General features: G+C 49.2%; 1 protein-coding gene across 1 annotated transcript in view, besides 1 other annotated feature; it reads left to right on the top strand.

The window, feature by feature from the left end:
• Positions 12,536 to 13,519: an enhancer, noted in NCBI's record as "H3K27ac-H3K4me1 hESC enhancer chr12:568273-569256 (GRCh37/hg19 assembly coordinates)". NCBI's record gives its function as "activates a minimal SCP1, AML or CMV promoter by ChIP-STARR-seq in primed H9 embryonic stem cells {active_cell/tissue: H9 hESC(primed)}" and the evidence as "EXISTENCE:reporter gene assay evidence [ECO:0000049][PMID:30033119]".
• B4GALNT3 (beta-1,4-N-acetyl-galactosaminyltransferase 3) overlaps positions 13,368 to 18,029 on the top strand; it is a 103,571-nt gene continuing 98,909 nt past the window's right edge. Inside the window, exon 1 of the mRNA NM_173593.4 lies at positions 13,368 to 13,974. Within this exon, the coding sequence (NP_775864.3) occupies positions 13,806 to 13,974 (169 nt within the window). The 5' untranslated portion in view covers positions 13,368 to 13,805. The remainder of the gene's footprint in view (positions 13,975 to 18,029) is intronic.

Raw genomic sequence — 18,029 nt, forward strand, 5'->3', positions numbered from 1 at the left:
GGGTTTACTTAAAACTGGAGAAAAACAAATATTTTGTGTTATGAAGTCATGCATGAAAAATAATTTGAAATGCAAACTCATTTCTTAAAAATTAGGGGCAAGGGGGCCAGGTGTAGTGGCTCACACCAGTAATCTAGTAATCTCAGCACTTTGGGAGGCCGAGGTTTGCTAGAGCCCAGGAGTTCCACACCAGCCTGGGCAACATGGCAAAAACCCAGCTACAAAAAATACAAAAGTTAGCTGGGCGTGGTGGTGCACACCTGTAATCCCAGCTACTTGGGAGGCTGAGGCAGGAGGATCACTCGAACCTGGGAGATTGAGGCTGCAGTGAGCCGTGTTTGCACCTGTGCTACAAAGCAAGACCCTGTCTCAAAAAAAGTGTGTGTGTGTGGGGGGGGGGGAGTAAAAACTACCATGAAATAATAAATATATGAAATATTTATTTCCTGGTAAATCTTTGTACTTGAGATCAAGCTAAGGCACAATCACTTAATACTAGGATTTATTGCAGTATCTGCAGGAACAAATCAAAGCATAGTGCCAAAGATCTTTGAAAAGCGCCATCATTGTCATTTCCTTTGCATTTTAAACTTTCTTTTAACCATATATATGAGTAACTTGGTAATAAATCACCTTTTTATCCATGAAACTTATGTGATTTTTCACAAAATAAAATAGCCTCTGGCTATGTTATTTTTGGTCCAGTCTTATGACTCTCGCTGCCTCTCCACCCACACCATGTTAGTTGGGCTACTAAGACTTACTGTAATATTTGCAACACAGCAGATTGCACTATCATCACTCACTGCATCTAGGAACAGAAGGAAGAAGATGGCTGCTGTCCTCATCCAGAAGAGAAACTCAGGGCCTAAGCTAAAGGGAGACATTGAGAATAAAGAGGAAGGGACAGAATCATTTAGGAGTAGAATGGTCATCCTATCTTTGTGATGGATGAGATGTGAGAGTTAGGGAAGAGTTAAGGAGGTGGGGAGATCGCTTGAGCCCAGGAGTTTGAGACCAACCTGGCTAACATAGTGAGACCCCGTCTCAACAACAACAAAATTAGGCAGGCACAGTGGCTCACACCTGTAGTCCTAGCTACTCAGGAGGCTAAGGAGGCAAGATTGCTTGAGTCCAGGACTTTGAGGCTGCAGTGAGTTATGACAGTGCCACTGTACTTCAGCCTGGGCAACAGGGTGAGACCGTATCTCAAAGGAAAAAAAAAAGGATAATTCTCTAACTTCAGAGTTTCTGGCTTGAGGTACCACGTGTCCAGTGACACCGTTAAGTGAGCTTCAATGTATAGGAGAAGCAGCCTGTTTCTAGTAAATTTGGGAATAGAGATCTGGAAGATAAGTTAGTATTAAAGACTTGGAATTATTAACATATAAAAGGTAATTGGATGTGGATGAGATCCGAGATGAAAAGCATACAGAAAAAGAAGAGAAGAGGGTCAAAGAGGGGAAACCTTTTTTTTTGTTTGTTTGTTTTTGAGACGGATCTCGCTCTGTCGCCCGGGCTGGAGTGCAGTGGCGTGATCTCGGCTCACTGCAAGCTCCACCTCCTGGGTTCACGCCATTCTCCTGCCTCAGCCTCCCGAGTAGCTGGGACTACAGGCGCCCGCCACCGCGCCCGGCTAATTTTGTTGTATTTTTAGTAGAGGCAGGGTTTCACCATGTTAGCCAGGATAGTCTCGATCTCCCGACCTCGTGATCCACCCGCCTCAGCCTCCCAAAGTGCTGGGATTACAGGCGTGAGCCACCGCGCCCGGCCAAAGAGGGGAAACCTTAACAGTAAGAGAAGGGGTAGCCAGTAAGAAAGGAATGGTCTGAATAACAAGAACATAGTGTTCTGGAAACTCAGGGAATGAGAACTTCAAGAAGCCAGTGGTTGGGAGCATTGTCAAACGCTCTAGAAGAACCATGTAAATTAGAATTGAGGTTTGGGGATTTAGCAGCAGGTGAGTTTAAAGCAACTTCAGTGAAATAGAGATGGAAGTTGGCTTATATTAGGTTGAGGGATGAGGCCAGAAGGAAAATGGGAAATAGCTTCAAAGTTGATAAAGCCAAGGAGAGGAGTTTCGATAGTTTTAGGCTGGGGAAGACTTAACCATATTCACAGACTGAAAGGGAAAGGCCAGAGGAAGGAACTGAAGATGGAAGAGTGAGAGGTGTTTCTAAGTAAGATGCTGGGGGAATGAGCGCTGGTACTGACGGGTGCAGTAAAAGCAGATGAGTTGGTATAATAACTCTAAAGGGGCAAGTACCCTGTTTTCACAGAGGAAATAAAGTTAAACCCTCCACTGAAAGTGAGATAGGGTATAGATGTGATGGGGAGCTTGAGGAGAAAGTGAATGTTGGAAAGATTGGAGGGAGCTGACAAGAGACAAGTGATAGACTCATTAGGAGTAGCTCTTGATGGACGATTTATTGAGTTGAACTGCCTGCCAGGGAGAAAATGCCTAGAATCGCAGCAAGTCATAGTCTGCTTCATCTGCCCTTCTAACTTCCTAAGTAGGTAAGGGCACAGAGCCAAAAAAGATCTAGAATAGGCAGACCAGCAGAAAAAAAGGCAGGTGAAGAGATAGAGCTGGAAGGAGGGTTTGGCTGCAAAGTGAAGGGAGGCCTTGCAAAGAAAACATTTTGAAAGGGGGCTTTAAATCTCTACGTGAAAACATTGCTTTATCGGCTTAAGCTGTGAAATATTCCACTCCTGGACTACTTGGTAGCTTATTTTCAAGTTAGCCATACAAAAAGCAACTGTGAACACAACCTAGACTTCTGGAGATTAATTACTTAATTGCCTCACATTTATGATGACATCACAGTGCACCCGTGTTCTTGTGTGTAGGAAATCCCTCATTTTGGAGATGATGCCCTTCTTGGGGGAAACTACTAGATGAGAATATTCACATCGTAAGTGAATGCAGGTGCCTATGTGGGAGACTGTGGATCAGATTGTCACTGAGAAACCACCATCCTTGCCAGAACAGCCTTCTGGGAGCTCAACCTCCAAGTGGCAGCTATGATTTCTTTTGTTTGCAGATATTAGCTCTCTTTCTCTTTGCCTCTTCAGCTGCATGACCTCTTTTTTTCAAACTGAGCCAGCCAGTCTATTTTTTAAAAAATTAAGACTGGCACAGTGGCTTACGCCTGTAATTCCAGCATTTTGGGAGGTCACGGCAGGAGGATCATTTGAGGCCAGGAGTTTGAGACCAGCCTAGGAACATAGTGGGACTCCATCTCTACAAAACATAGAAAAAATTAGCTGGGTGTGGTGGTGCACGCCTATAGCCCCAGCTACTTGGGAGGCTGAGGCTGGGGGATCGCTTGAGCCCAGGAGGTCGAGGCTACAGTGAGCTATGATCAGGCTACTGCACTCTAGCCAGGGCTACAGAGTGAAACCCCATCTCTAAAAAAATAAAAAATAAAATATACAAATAATAAATAAATTGTGTTGTGTTGACACATGAACAGAATAGACTCATATCTACATATATGTCATATATGTATGTCATTATAATAGATGCATCTTGAGTTGCTGCCAAATATGGTTTTTTTTCAGTTTGGACAAATATTTATTCTCCTCGATGATTCAGCTCATCTTTCTATTTTTTAGATAATTGTACATTCGCATGCAGTTCTAAGAAATAATACAGTGATTTTATGCACATTTTGCCCAGTTTATCTCCAATCATTGACTCACTGCTTTTTGACTAGTCTGCAGCTAGTGAGTCCTGGTAATTCTGGATTGGACCACAATGTTTGTGATTAGCCTTGTGTTGACTTGTGACATTTTCCTTCCCTTTTGGCTCACAACAGCATTTAACAACAGCAGTGCGATTTTAAATGAACAATTTCAATATTGCTTGTGTTGACTCTTCCAGAGCCTCTTAATTGGCAAGCTTGCCTTGGCATTTGGGAAGGATAATTAAATATTAAGTAGAGGGATCCCAAATAGGAATGAGCCTAAGTAGTATTGTCATGCACATTTTGGTGAGATTTCATTTGGCCCAAAGCTCAGTAATCAGTGCAGATTGAACTGGTGTGCCTGGGTTTTTCTTTTTACTTAGAGAGGCGGTTCCTTACCCTAGCCTTATCTCTTGTGTCACTCCCTAGGCTGGGCCAGCACCTGATAAGCTTCTGTGGAAAATAGCTGTGTTCTCGGTGTGCAAACAGGTTCTCTTGCTTGTTTCTGTCAAAGCAATGAACTCCTTCCCCCCAAAAAATGACCTTAGGAAACTCTTCTTTCTCTACGTATTCTCTGCTCATTTCCTGAAGCCTGACTACTTTGTCCTCATCTTTGAGATTCAGTATTTCTTCCCCCCACCACTTTTATTTCTTTATTTATTTTAAAATTTTACATAGAGATGGAGTCTCACTATATTGACCAGGCTGGTCTCAAACTCTTGGCCTCAAGTGATTTTCCTGCTTCAGCCTCCCAAAGTGCCAGGATTACAGGTGTGAGGCATGGCACCAGGCTAGATTCTATATTTCACCTTGAGTCAGTCGGACTAAGCCGCCCTCTAACTCCCCTCACCCCTCTCCTATCGGGGTGCTTCCCACCCAGTCTCCTGCCCTTGCCTCCTAAGCGCTGATCATGAGCCTGCTGCCTGCCCACGCATGCACTGGCACTGCCTCTGGCTCTCCCTGCTTCCTAGGTCTCTGTCCTAGTCTGACTTCTGCACCTGGTGCACTTGCCTGCTCCTGGTCACTGATTCTGCTTCTGCTTGTCCCACCAGTGTTAGTGTTTCCAGGAGTTCTGACTCGGGCTCTCTTCACAAGACACCCACATCCTCTCCTGAGGTGTTGGCATTCCTCTCTGTGATGCCACCTATGACTCTCCCCTATGGTGAGAATGCTGGGGGTTTCCTTTTCTACAGGTCTTTAAAGGCTGCAGAAATCTCCCTCGAGAATACTATGGCATTTAAGGGAAAACCTTCCTGAAAGCAATGTATTCAGCCTAGAAAGCTGAGATAACACGGTGATCTGAAAATGTGGAGCAAAGGACATCTGACCTAGATTAAAAAAATAATTCAGAGACTGATGTGAAGTCTCTGAGGTCACTTTGTAAATTCACTGAAGGAAAATTCAGAGTGTGAAATGTCTCCTATAAACACCTGGATAACACATGGGATAACACAATGCAAGGCTTTACCATGCACATCTCCCACTGGCCTGCTCTGACAGCCCCCTTTTGAGGGTAAGATGCCTGGCTGAAGAGCAGAATCCTCATAAAGGCAGAAGAATATTTGTTATGTATTTAATTTTAGATATAGGGTCTCACTCCGTCACCCAGGCTAGAATGCAGTGCAGATCACTGCTCATTGCAGACTCCACCTTCTGGGCTCAAGCAGTCATCCCATCTCAGCCTCCTAAAGTGTTGGGATTACAGGCATAAGCTCAGTGCCCTGGAGCTTCTAAAAGATTCTTCTGCCTTGGTGGGGTGCAGTGGCTCATGCCTGTAATCCTAGCACTTTGGGAAGCTGATGTGGGAGAATTGCTTGAGCCCAGGAGTTTGAAACCAGCTTGGGCAACATAGCCCATCTCAACAAAAAATTAAAGTTAAAAAATTTAGCCAAGGGCTGGGCACGGTGTCTCACATCTATAATTCCAGCACTTTGGGAGGTGGGCAGATCACTTGAGGCCAGAAGTTTGAGACCAACCTGGCCAACATGGCGAAACCCCGTTTCTACTAAAAATACAAAAATTAGCCAGGTGTGGTGACGCACACCTGTAGTCCCAGCTACTCGGGAGGCTGAGGCACGAGAATTGCTTGAACCCGGAAGGCAGAGGTTGCAGTGAGCCAAGATTGCGCCACTGCACTCCAGCCTGGGTGACAGAGCAGGACCTGTCTCGAAAAAAAAAGAAAAAAAGAAAAAAGCCAGGCATGGTGGTACATGCTTGCAGTCCCAGCCACTCAAGAGGCTGAGGCGGGAATGAGCCATAGATTGTGCCACTGCACTCCAGCCTGGATGACAGATTAAAAAAACACATAACAAAACAAAACAAATACACGTCTTGACCACCCTCTACCACCCCACACACCGTGTAGGTGGCAAATATATGAGAGAATAGGAAAAAAAAAAAACCCAGAAAACCTCACCTCATGACTATGCAGTTTCACCAACTGTCCTTGTCCCAAATCACTAACCTGGGTTCATCTTCTTTCTTTATAGCTTAGCCAGTGAGGATGTTCTGTTTCAATCAGTTCTTGCAAACTGACTTTATTTTATTTTTTATTTTCTGTAGAAATGGGGTCTTGCTATGTTGCCCAGGCTGGTCTGAAACACCCGGGGTCAGCCTCCCAAAGTGCTGGGATTACAGGCGTGAGGCACCGTGCCCGGCCACCAAACTGACTTTAAATCACACTCCTTCACTCGGAGTTTTTACCTAGGAATGAGATGGGAGCCTCCACTACTGCGGAGAGGGTCAGAAGTCATTTTTGTTCTCACCCTAACCCCTTCCCAGTCTTGCCCCAGCTCCGCGTTAAAGGGGTTTGCCGCCCGCAGGGGGCGCTGCGGTGCAGAGGCGACGCTGCCCTTTCCTCTCCAGGGCCGAGCGGGGGGTTTGCCGCCCGCAGGGGGCGCTGCGGTGCAGAGGCGACGTTGCCCTTTCCTCTCCGGGGCCGAGCGGGGGGTTTGCCGCCCGCAGGGGGCGCTGCGGTGCAGAGGCGACGTTGCCCTTTCCTCTCCGGGGCCGAGCGGGGGGTTTGCCGCCCGCAGGGGGCGCTGCGGTGCAGAGGCGACGTTGCCCTTTCCTCTCCGGGGCCGAGCGGGGGGTTTGCCGCCCGCAGGGGGCGCTGCGGTGCAGAGGCGACGTTGCCCTTTCCTCTCCGGGGCCGAGCGGGGGGCTTGCCGCCCGCAGGGGGCGCTGCGGTGCAGAGGCGACGTTGCCCTTTCCTCTCCGGGGCCGAGCGGGGGGTTTGCCGCCCGCAGGGGGCGCTGCGGTGCAGAGGCGACGCTGCTCTTTCCTCTCCAGGGCCGAGTTAAATTCCAGAGAACCACATACAGTGGGGATTTTTGTTTTCTCTCTTCCATCCCCAGTCCGGGTGGCGGCAGAGCTCAAAGAGGAGTCTGTTCTGGGGAAAAGACGGCGTCTGCCTCTCTCTCGAACCAGCCCTGATCAACTCCCAAGCAGCCGGTCCTTAGATAACACGGCTGAGAAACCTGAAACCAGCGGCTCTGCCCGTCATCAGCGCCAGCATCCCCGTCTGGAAACCGAGACGCTCTGCGGAGACGCCACAGTGACTGAGTGTTAAGTGGAAGGGCTGGCGTTCTCGCGGCAGAGTTCACAGGCCTGGACCTAGGAACTGAGACAGAAGTTTTTCAGGGAGTCTGTCTGGGGCTTGAGCACTTGCGCTGTTCTGGGGCACTCTGCGCACGTACCGGCTTTGGGACCATTGTTCTTCCCAAGCCAAGCCGTGAGCTAGGTTAATACGGCCGTGCGCTCCACTCGGCCGGGCTGCCTGCAGCGCTCCCCGCTGTGGATTCAACCGTGTTCAAGGCAAGGGAAGAACATCCACGCCCCCTTTCTCTTTTCTTTTTCTTTTTCTTTTTGAGACGGAGTCTCGCTCTGTCGCCCAGGCTGGAGCGCAGTGGCGCCATCTCCGCTCACTGCAAACTCCGCCTCCCGGGTTCAGGCCATTCTCCTGCCTCAGCCTCCGGAGTAGCTGGGACTACAGGCCCCGGCTAATTTTTTGTATCTTTAGTAGAGACGGGGTTTCACCGTGTTAGCCAGGATGGTCTCGATCTCCTGACCTCGTGATCCGCCCGCCTCGGCCTCCCAAAGCGCTGGGATTACAGGCGTGAGCCACGGCGCCCGGCATGACCATTTCTGTTTTCTTAGGGGAAGCCTCCTTAAATGAGTGGGCTTTCAAGTTGACAGAACCTCATGTGAATGGGGAGTAAGGACATTCTCGATTACTACAGAGTATTTATTAAATGGCTTCTGGGCTGAAGCCTATAGAAGGAGTACAGATTATCAAATGCAGAAAAGATGTGGTCGTTTAGAAGCCCTATTAGGGGTTGGAGAAACTGTGAAGTCAGGAGTGAAGGGTGCATATGAGTTTTTTTCTTCAGGATGAAAGAGAGAGAATAGCGGTAGGAAATCCAGCTTCACTCAGAGTCCTAGGGACCTATGCCCTGTTCTGAAAATGCTGAGACACACATCTGTGTATGCTCAAATACACATCTGTGTGTGCTCAAACTTGTAGGGACCAAGCCTGTGGGATGTGTCCTTGGGAGAAGAGAAGTTAGCACTAAGACTTCACTCAGAGGGATGACACTACCCTGGCACCATGGTGAGCCACACAGCTTCCAGACATCAAACATGTGCCATGACTTGGGAGTGGGGAAGAAGCTACTCAGAGCTGTGGGTCATTATGCCTTAGCTTCAGCTACACATCCTCTCACTAGCATCTGTAGCAGAAGACTGCAGAGTGCAGACAGAAGAGTGCCTTTCTAGAGAAGGGTGAGAGAATGTCTTTCTAGTGGGGTTTAGTGGTCAGACAGACAGGAGGTAGAGCTTTGGGGAGGCTCGTGTAGATGGCCTCAGCACCAACTAATGAGCAACCAAGAGCACTGTTCACACTATCTCCCTCTGGGTTTGCCAGCAACAAAGAAAACCTGAGTGGTAGGAAATAATTGGTATTTCTCAGCTGAAAAGCCTGAACAAGTCAAAGATAATTTTTTTGACCTGGATGATTGTCTCTTGACTTGCTGGGGAATCCTTCTCCCTGAAGGAGGAAGGCAGAAAGAGACGTTGGAATAATTTGGAGGCATTCATAATGCAGATTGGAAGAGGAAGCAAGGCCTAGCAATAGATGCCAAACTTAGAACTTCAAAGCACATAGTTCTGGTTTGGGTCACCTCTCACCGTCTGCTGAGGACTATATCAGCAACTCACTTGCTTGGGAGTGAGATGAAGTATGTGAATTGCCCTGGGATTTTTCCCAGCTGATGAGCTTTGTTTTGACCCTCAGCATAACGTCTACGCCCTTTCTTCATCTTTTCTTTAACTCCTTTCATCTGATTCCTTTGACACTTTACCATGCAATCTTGAACATGTTCTTCTATAGGGATGCTTCTATAGGGATATTCATCTGTTTCCCAGTCTAGTTTGTAAAATTACGTACGACCACAGATGGAGAAACTGAGGCTTGAGATCTTGCCAGAGCTCATACCATTCTTTCCATCAGCCAAACAGAAGAGCCCAGCTTTCTGGAAAAGCAAGAGAAGTGGCTAATAAGAAGCATTCAGTGGGGGGCATCCATCCTTTTCTGGGATTGGCCTCCATAGTAGCAAACCATGCAGAAAGATTTGTAAAAGATGGACTCATGGAAGGAGGGCTAGGAAAAAGGATCTCTTCTGTAAAGAGCACAGCAGGCAGCATTGGTGACGGAGTTGGGGGGAGGGGGGAGGGGATGAGAAGAATTATCATGTGGCTGAGTGAGTTATGGATGTGCTGAAGGTGAGCTCAGAGTTTCCAGAGTGAATATACTTCTGCAGGGGAACTTCCAGGGGAGGAACATGTGCAAAGGAAAAAAAGCCCTGGATCTGAAGTTAGAAAGCCTGAGTTTGAGTCCTAAGAGATGGGTCATGTAGATGACCTTGAGCAAGTTATTTAACATCTCCGAGCCCATTTCTTTATCTATGAAATGGAATCAGTGAAAGGACAGTTTCCAGGATACGTGATTTGCATGAGTTGAAAGAGATAAAACAAATAAATGCTTGCCAAAATGACCCCGGCACTTGGAGAGCATGTCTTTGTGGATATTTCCAGCACTGTTCTTTTCTCTCAAAGAATGGAACACAGTCTGCCCAACAAACACACAGGTATATATAGACAGGGATAAGATAGATACAGATATAGATATAGATATAGATATAGATATAGATATAGATATAGATATAGATATAGATAGATACAGATATGGATATAGATATGGAAGGTCAGACTGGAGAAGGAAGAAGTCTCTGGGTACAATGGAAAGAGGACCAGCGGCTAAAGATCTGGTTCCGGTTCTGATTCTATCACTTATTGGTCATGTGAAGAAACTGAGGCTTGCAAAGCTTATTTGTAAATAGAGGAGGCTACCTCCCCTGTTGTTCTCATATGGTTGTGAGAAACAAAACACATGGAATATAGATGTAAAAATGCTCTCTAAGCTCAAAGTTGCTACCTTATAATGTAGGTGTCAGGTTTTAGGAAAAAGGATGGGTGGCACAGGGGTCACTGGAGTTACTTAGTATATTTTGACATCCCTATAGAGTAGAATAAGACTTGGTCTGCATACAACAGACCATACCTATAGGTCACTAAACTCTTCCCTTCTGAATTCTCCACAATCCAGAATTTTCTGGTCCCTGTGCTAACCTTGGCCCATTTTAGAAAACTTTGGTCAACCTCTCTTACAATGCCTCTGTAATTTGGGAGAAGAAACTTTATGATTTGACCTGCTCTGCCTCTGATATTCTGGCCAAGCAAAGACCGGGCCCTTCTACCATTATTGCAGGTGTATGGTGGAAAATATTTTTCCTTTTGGGTGCAATTTGTACAATGTGACCCTGGGCTATTCTGGGTCAGGTGCTGTAGCTGAAGTGGGAGGGTGAAAGGACAGTGAAAACCATCAGAAGAACTGGTGAGTAGCCAGGCAAATTGACACTGACAATGAATGGACATTTGTGACAATATATTATGCCACCATGATACCTCAATCCACATACTTAGTTCTGGAGCTCAGCTATTTGGGAAATTTGGGTCTCAAAATTCAGATCTTCCCCTGCTGTGACATCACCAGGAGTCAAAAAGGGATGTGGAGAAAGCGGGGTCTGAATGTGAGGGATATCTCAGTGCCAAGGCGTCACCCACAGAAGAGAAGGGAACAGAAGAGGGAGAGAGGAGAGCCACAAGAATGTCCTGGCCTCTTTTCTCTTCGACTCCTGGCACCTCTCACCATAAGCTGGAAAAGTAATGATCTTCTCAAGTTATAAAAACAAAGTAGAAATAAGAGGAGGATAAAAAATCAAGAGGTACAGGGTGATCTCCTTCTTCTTCTTAATCTCTTTGGACCATAAATTTGGCCTTTAAACTGTCAGATTTCTTTTCCTGTGGACTATCTTTTTTCCTCAACTAAACAGCATGCTTCTTGTTTTAGATCTCTCCCAGTTCCTACATAATAGATGCTTCAAGCATTTGGTTGACCGAAGTGATTGCATGAGCTTTCTCAGTCTTGAGGAGAGAATTGTGGCAAGGCTGCCACCTGTTTCCATGACAAAGTGTTAAAAGTGACTCAACCTAAAATCCAGTTGGGTTGCCCTTAGTAAGAGAGGGACTCTATTTACAGGGCCCGGTCACTTCCCACTTGACTCAGCCGAGCTTGCACAGGCCGTGCACACACTGGCTGCTCCTATCTTGGACTTGTGGAAAGAAAGAAGAACATGAGAAGTACAGGAATCTGTGGCTTTGGAACTTCACAGAGACCTTTCCCAGGGGCTACAATTAGAGAATTGTCCTTTGGATTCACCCTTTTTGCTAAAGAACTGCAGTGAAAGTTCTGGAAGATGTTTGCTCAAAGTGCTACCCCCATCCTCAAACCTTCCTAAGTGCTAAGTGGACATTGTACCACCCACTGGAAATGCAGCTCCCATTTTTGAAGCCTTACAGTGAGGTTGGGAAAACAAGACTCACACACTCCAAGTAAGTTCCAACATATCAGATGGTGAGACAGATGGCAAGTTCTACTAAAGCTCCAGAAAGGAAGGAGTTGCTTAGGACTTGGCTGGTCCAAGAAAGCTTTATAGAATCTGAAATGGACCTTGGATAAAGGGTACAAGTTGACCAACTAGAAAAGAAAATGTGTTGGAGGGTAGTGAATAAACTCGTTTTAGCTGGAGCAGGTTTCATGTGGTCACATAAAGTTGGAAAAGGTTCTGGAAGGCCCTGAATTCTGGATTTACAGTGTGTATCTTAATCAATAAGCATTGGAAGCCATTAAATATTTTTGAGCAGGTGTGTGACTACATACGGGATTTTTTTTTTTTTTTTTTTTTTTTTGAGACAAGGTCTTGCTCTGTCACCCAGGCTGGAGTGCAGTGGCATGATTGTGGCTCACTACAACCTTACACTCCTCCCACCTCAGCCTCCCGAGTAAGTTAGGACTACAGGTGTGTGTCACCATGCCTGGCTTTTTATGAAGACCATCTGGTGGTAGTGGACAGGATGCGATGGGAAGCTTGGAGTTGGGGAGGCTAATTAGGAAAAGTCCTGTAGAAACTATTGAATATCCAACTGAGGTGAGAACAGAGAGAAGGGAAACATAGTTCTCAATTCTGTGAGAACCTCTGTCTTGGAACAGTACTTGTGTGATATTCATTTGATTTTAAAATGTCCAGGAACACTTTGATCCTTCACTTTTCCCATAGTCTCCTGACCATTTTTCCCAGAAGAGATAATGGAAAAGAAAACTGCAGTATAACTTGCTGAGTGACCTGGGGCAGTTATTCTGCCCCTTGATACTTTATCTAATTTAAATCAGATAATAATGCTTTACCTGCCTGAAGGCAGAGGACTGGAATACTGATTTTTTTTTTTTTGAGACAGGGTCTTGCTGTGTTGCCCAGGCTGGAGTGCACTGACGCAATCACGGCTCACTGCAGCCTTGACCTCCAGAGATCAAGAGATCCTCTTGCCTCAGCCTCTCAAAGTGCTGGGACGACAGCCGTGAGCCACTGTGCCTGGCTTATCTTGCTGATCTTTTCAACTCTAAGAGTGAATACTTTTCTTTTCTTTTTAAAATTCTTTTTCGGAACCCTCAAACACCTACTCTCTTCAAACAGCCATTCCAGCCCAGTCTGGGGAAAACTGCTTGCTGGGGTTCACCGTGGGGGCTGTACGACTTCCCCAGCGCCTCTCGGAGATGTGGTTCAGGCTGGGAAGAAAGGTCTTCAAATCTCAACTGGAAAACGAAGCTATGTCTGCGTTAAGCGTCCAGTGGCTCCCGTGATATTTCACGCCTACTGGTTTCGTCAAGCAGGGAGTCGGGTCGTTGCTGTTGGCGACGAAAGGCTCTGAGGCTAAAGCCTTGGGCGTCGCCCAAACCAGCCTCTACTTCGCTTCTGCCTAAAACCACACCGTTAGGCGCCTGGGTGGTGACTCGGTTTCCCTCGGTCACCCAGAGTCCGCATCATCACTCGCCCCCTCCTCATCCCACCCGTTCCCAGTCGGGGGAGGCACCAGGCACCAGTTCTCTGGCCCCACCTCTCGCTCCCCTAGGGAAGCCGAATGGCCTCTTCGCGTCCCTGGCTTCTCGGGGGCGGAGCCCACCTGTGCCCGGGGCGGGGGCGGGGGCGGGGCCGGGGGCGGGCCAGGTTCCGCGAGCAGGAGAGCCCAGAGCCCGGAGCCCGGTCCGGGGCTGGCGGGGGCGCGGGCGGAGGCAGGCGGGCGGGCGCCGGGGAAGCCTCCTTCTGGGCAGCGAGTGAGGGCGGGCGCGCAGGGAGGGAGGGCGGCAGCGAGCCTGCGACGGGAGAGGCGTGGGGAGGAGAGCCCGGCGCGGAACACACGCGCGGAGGAGGAGCCGGGCTCGGCTCCCGGAGAGACCTGCTGGGCGCCCGCGCAGCCCGGAGACCCCTCGCGCCCGGAGCATGAGCCCGAGCCCCGCCGGAGAGCGGCCGGGAGAGACGGCCTCGGCGCAGCCCTGAGACGCTGGGCCGGGACGCGGGGCGCCCTGGGCGCGGGGCCCGGCCGGGGGGCGGCGGCTCGGGGGGTTGGAGCCCGCGCTGGCGGCGGCCGCCTCGGCGCAGCGCCATGGGGAGCCCCCGGGCCGCGCGGCCCCCGCTGCTCCTGCGCCCGGTGAAGCTGCTGCGGAGGCGCTTCCGGCTGCTGCTGGCGCTCGCCGTGGTGTCTGTGGGGCTCTGGACTCTGTATCTGGAACTGGTGGCGTCGGCCCAGGTCGGCGGGAACCCCCTGAACCGGAGTAAGTAGCACCCAGGGGAGGCGAAGGGCGCGGGGGTGGGCGGCGGCGGCGGCTCCTGCGTTGGGGGGACCCGCCTCTCATCCCATCCTCAGACCCGATTTCCCACCCATTTCTCCCTCAGGTGCCCGGCGTCGCCCCGCGCGTACTCGGGGAGAGCTGCGGGCGGGGGAAGCCGCGGGGCCGAGCGCAGAATTCCCGAGCCCGGGCCTGCCCGCCGGCCACGTGGGTCCGGGGCACCCTGGGGGCTCCTCGCGTCTCCCCTCGGAGAGCGACCCGGAGAGAGGCTCCCCGCCCGTCCCGCCGAGACGCTGGCGGAGACCGGGCCCCTCCAGCCGCTCCGGGCTTGCGGTTCCCGGGGAGGAGGTCCGTGGGGTCCACGCGCGAGCTAGGGATTCGGGTGCGGGATGCCCTCGGCCGTCCACACCCAGGCGCGCGCTCCAGTCCGCGCAGCCCAAACTTTGCCCACCGCCTTCTGTTTGGCTCACTCCGTTTCCTCTCCTGCTGCATCTTCTAGGGGGGTTCTTTTTTACCATACCTCGGAGAGTCCCGTCTCTTCCCCGCTTCCCATACGTCGCTCCTCTCCCAGCCTCCGTCCTCGGCTCTTTGAATCTCCCACCTCCTCGCTGCGCCCTCTTTCTCCTGTTCGGGCCGCCCCTTCTGCCACTTTTCTGAACCCTGAGCAAATCTACCAAACTCCCCAGTTTAAGGAGATGATGGACAGCACAGTGGACCGGGCAGCAGGTAGATTCCTACTTCTGTTTTTAACTTAGCCAAAGCCACTTAATATTTCCGTGCCTCAGTTTCCTCCTAGGAAAACAGGAGAGCGTGGTCTCTTTGCCTTTTTACATCAATAGGTATGGCTGTGCGAGGTGGTTTTCAACGTACTGTGGATGGGCCTAACAAAGTAAAACTGACAGTGACAGGGGCCGTAAAAGATCCTGTAATAGTTGGGAAAAGAAATGGAGAAACTCCCGTTACTACCAGGTGCCCAACGCAAGCCCGGGGAGCCGAGGTTCAAAGTTCTGGCACGTGGCCTCCCATGCCTTCACTTTCCTCCCGCTTTGGGGAAACTCGGACAGAGTGGCTGAGCAAGCAGCTGAGAAGATACTCTGACTCTGACCTGTCGTCGTGTCAGCTTCTCTACCCAGAGTTGGGTGTGGTGCTGTGCCTTCTCTTGTGGCCAAAGAGAGAGAATTACTAGGGACAGTCGCTGAGCTGGTTCAGGTTGGAAATGTATATTTATGGCCTAACCTTTCTGTGGTGATGGAAATCATTCCGGCTGTGAGTTAGAGGAGACTGGCTCTGCCACTAACTAGCGGGGGAATCAAGGGAAAAACGACAGCTTCTCAGGTGAAAATGAGGCCTTTGGTCCAAATGATCTCCAAGGTGTCTTTCAGTCTGGATACGAAGACTGATCTGCACGCAAGCGTTTCCAGGGCCAGAGAGCTCAGCACATCACCAGGAAGCCATAGCTTCCACCCCGGGGCCACGACTCCAAGCAGCAGAGCCCCTTCCTCTGATGACCAAAATCTGCCGCCCATAGTGAATTCTTCCCTCCTCTGGGCCTTGTTCTTCCTTCTGAAAGACAGAGAGTGAATCTATTCTCCCCCGCCATGGCCACTCAGGCCCAAATGGATGAGCTCCTTTGGAGTGTGTGTGGGTGGGGGCCTGGGAGGCGACACCTCCTCCCAGTGTAGCCATCATTTTGTTTAGCCAGTGGGATCTTGTGCACAAATTAAAAACAGAGAGAAAGGCAGTTGCTTTGTGACCTTGGAATCAGTAACCTCCCTTTCTCCCTCTCCTCACTTTTCTTTTACCTCCGGTGTGTTTTCTCCCCAAACCTGGATCTAGTTTGCCACAGTCATAATCTGACACTCTGGCCCTCGACCTCTGCCTCTGTCTCCCGTGGGCCGCCTCATTCCGAGCCATCAATTCTTGAGTCTGTTGGGTTCCCCTCCCAGAAGAATCTTAACTCTCTGACTGGGTTTCCTTATTTTTTATTTTCTTTTCCAAACCAATTATCCAGAAAACTCTTCCCAGCCTCTATGCCAGAATTGACTTCGTTTCCTTACTCATGGTTTTTAACAGGAGGCTAAGCTCACACACTGATGCACCTTGTTTCCTCTCTCCTCTTAGAACCCTGAAATTCATCTATTGTGCAGGGTGTCTTTTTGTCCTGCGCTGTCCCGTTATATTCTACTCTCGATTTCCCTGTGGAATAAGATTTAGACTGGAGCTGTGGTTTCTGCCTCCTTGTCTCCCATCCTTTTTTGTTGTTAAGAAGCCCAGACATCTTGCATCAAAGTTCCCTCTTTTCCTATAGGTTTCATTCTCAGCTCAGAGCTATTCCTCTGGAGGGAGAGCCAGGGAGGAGGCATTAGGAAAGGAGAGGTGGGAAGGGGGTTGCTAGCATTCCCACCTCCACACTCTTGGATACCAACAGGAACCAGGGTAGTAAAACTGCACCTCCCAGGCCTGTACCTCTGGCCTCAACCACAGCAACCAGAACCAGCTTGTTGGCTCTGCTTTCCAGCAAGCCACCCTGCCTCCCCTCTCTAGCAATCCCTGCCAACTCACTCCACCACCCACCAGCTCCCTGTCATCTGGAAGGCCAGCCCCCATTACCAGGAACCTTTCATTTGCCTGTCCCTGTGTTGGATCTGGTGCTGGAAGAAGAGTATGGAGAGATGGCAGTCACAAACTCCAGGGTTACCAGTAATGACAGGGGAGCATATTTCCTTCTTTATCTTCGTGAAATAACCCAGTAGTTTAAGATGTGGATGATGTGCAATTTGGTTCCATATGCAGAAGGAGATACAACCACAACTGGAGTGGCTTCAGAGAAAAACAACCAAAATCCTTAACAAATAGAAAATTGACAAAAGAATTAGGACTGTTCACGCATTCATTTACACAAATATTTACTTAGCGCATACCTCGAGCCAGGCATTGTGCCAGGCCGTGTAGGTGTGATGACCAGGATGTGGTTTCTAGCATCTACAGCTTCATTTAGGAGGAAAGCTAAGGTGCCTATATCAAAATGGTTGTAATATAAAGCAGTCATTAAGTTTTGCAAACATAGGACGCATATGTTTCTGTGACACCTCTTGAAATGGGGGCACAGCTCTCCCAACTAATATTTCATGGAAATGGTGACATTTTGGGACGTTTTGAAGAGTTGGTAAGATTTTGGTGGATACAGAAAGGCTATTCGAGACAGAAAGAGTTACGTCAACAAAGACCAAGAGTCGGGGAAAGTTTATGTTTGAGAATACTGAGCAGCTGAGTTTGGTGAAACAGAGGGTATAAGAAGAATAGAGGATGATGCTGTATGTGGAAGGCTGAATAAAGACCTTAAAGAGTGGCATTTATTCAGTAGCTAGCAGAAAGCAGTTGAAAGTTTTAGAATACGGCAGCATTGTAGAATGGGACGGGTAAGGGTAACAATACTTTTGGTGTGGCATGGTGGTTCTGGAACAGGGTCCTGACGAGTCCCCTTGTTGAGCCCAACATTAACTCTTTAGCTGCTGGGTCGTGAAGCTGTCCTGGGGAGGGGTCCGGGTGGCAGTGGGACACTCAGAGGGCCTGGGGCAGCCACTGTACTAACACATGCTTAAGGATTTCAGTGTTTTAATAAGTGGTACGGCTATCCTGGTGTGTACTGGCTGAAAAGCAGCCCTGGGAACAAATTGTTATTGGAAGTTAAAGATTCTCCAATTAGGCAGGTTTTCACAAGTTATATACCCATTTGTTCATATTGGATCAGCAAAGATTCTATCTGAAGGCAGAGTTCTGGACTAGAGGCCGGGGGTGGTGGCTCACACCTGTAATCCCAGCACTTTGGGAGGCCGAGGCGGGCAGATCATTTGAGGTCAGGAGTTCGAGACCAGCCTGGCCAACATGGCAAAACCCCATCTCTACTAAAAAAGATTAAAAAAATACCCAGGCATGGTGGCGCACACCTGTAATCCCAGATACTGGGGAGGCTGAGGCAGGAGAATTGCTTAACTCAGGAGGCAGAGGTTGCAGTGAGCTGAGATTGCACCACTGTACTC

The sequence above is a fragment of the Homo sapiens genome, chromosome 12 (genome assembly GCF_000001405.40).
Source record: "Homo sapiens chromosome 12, GRCh38.p14 Primary Assembly".
Lineage (NCBI taxonomy): Eukaryota > Metazoa > Chordata > Mammalia > Primates > Hominidae > Homo > Homo sapiens.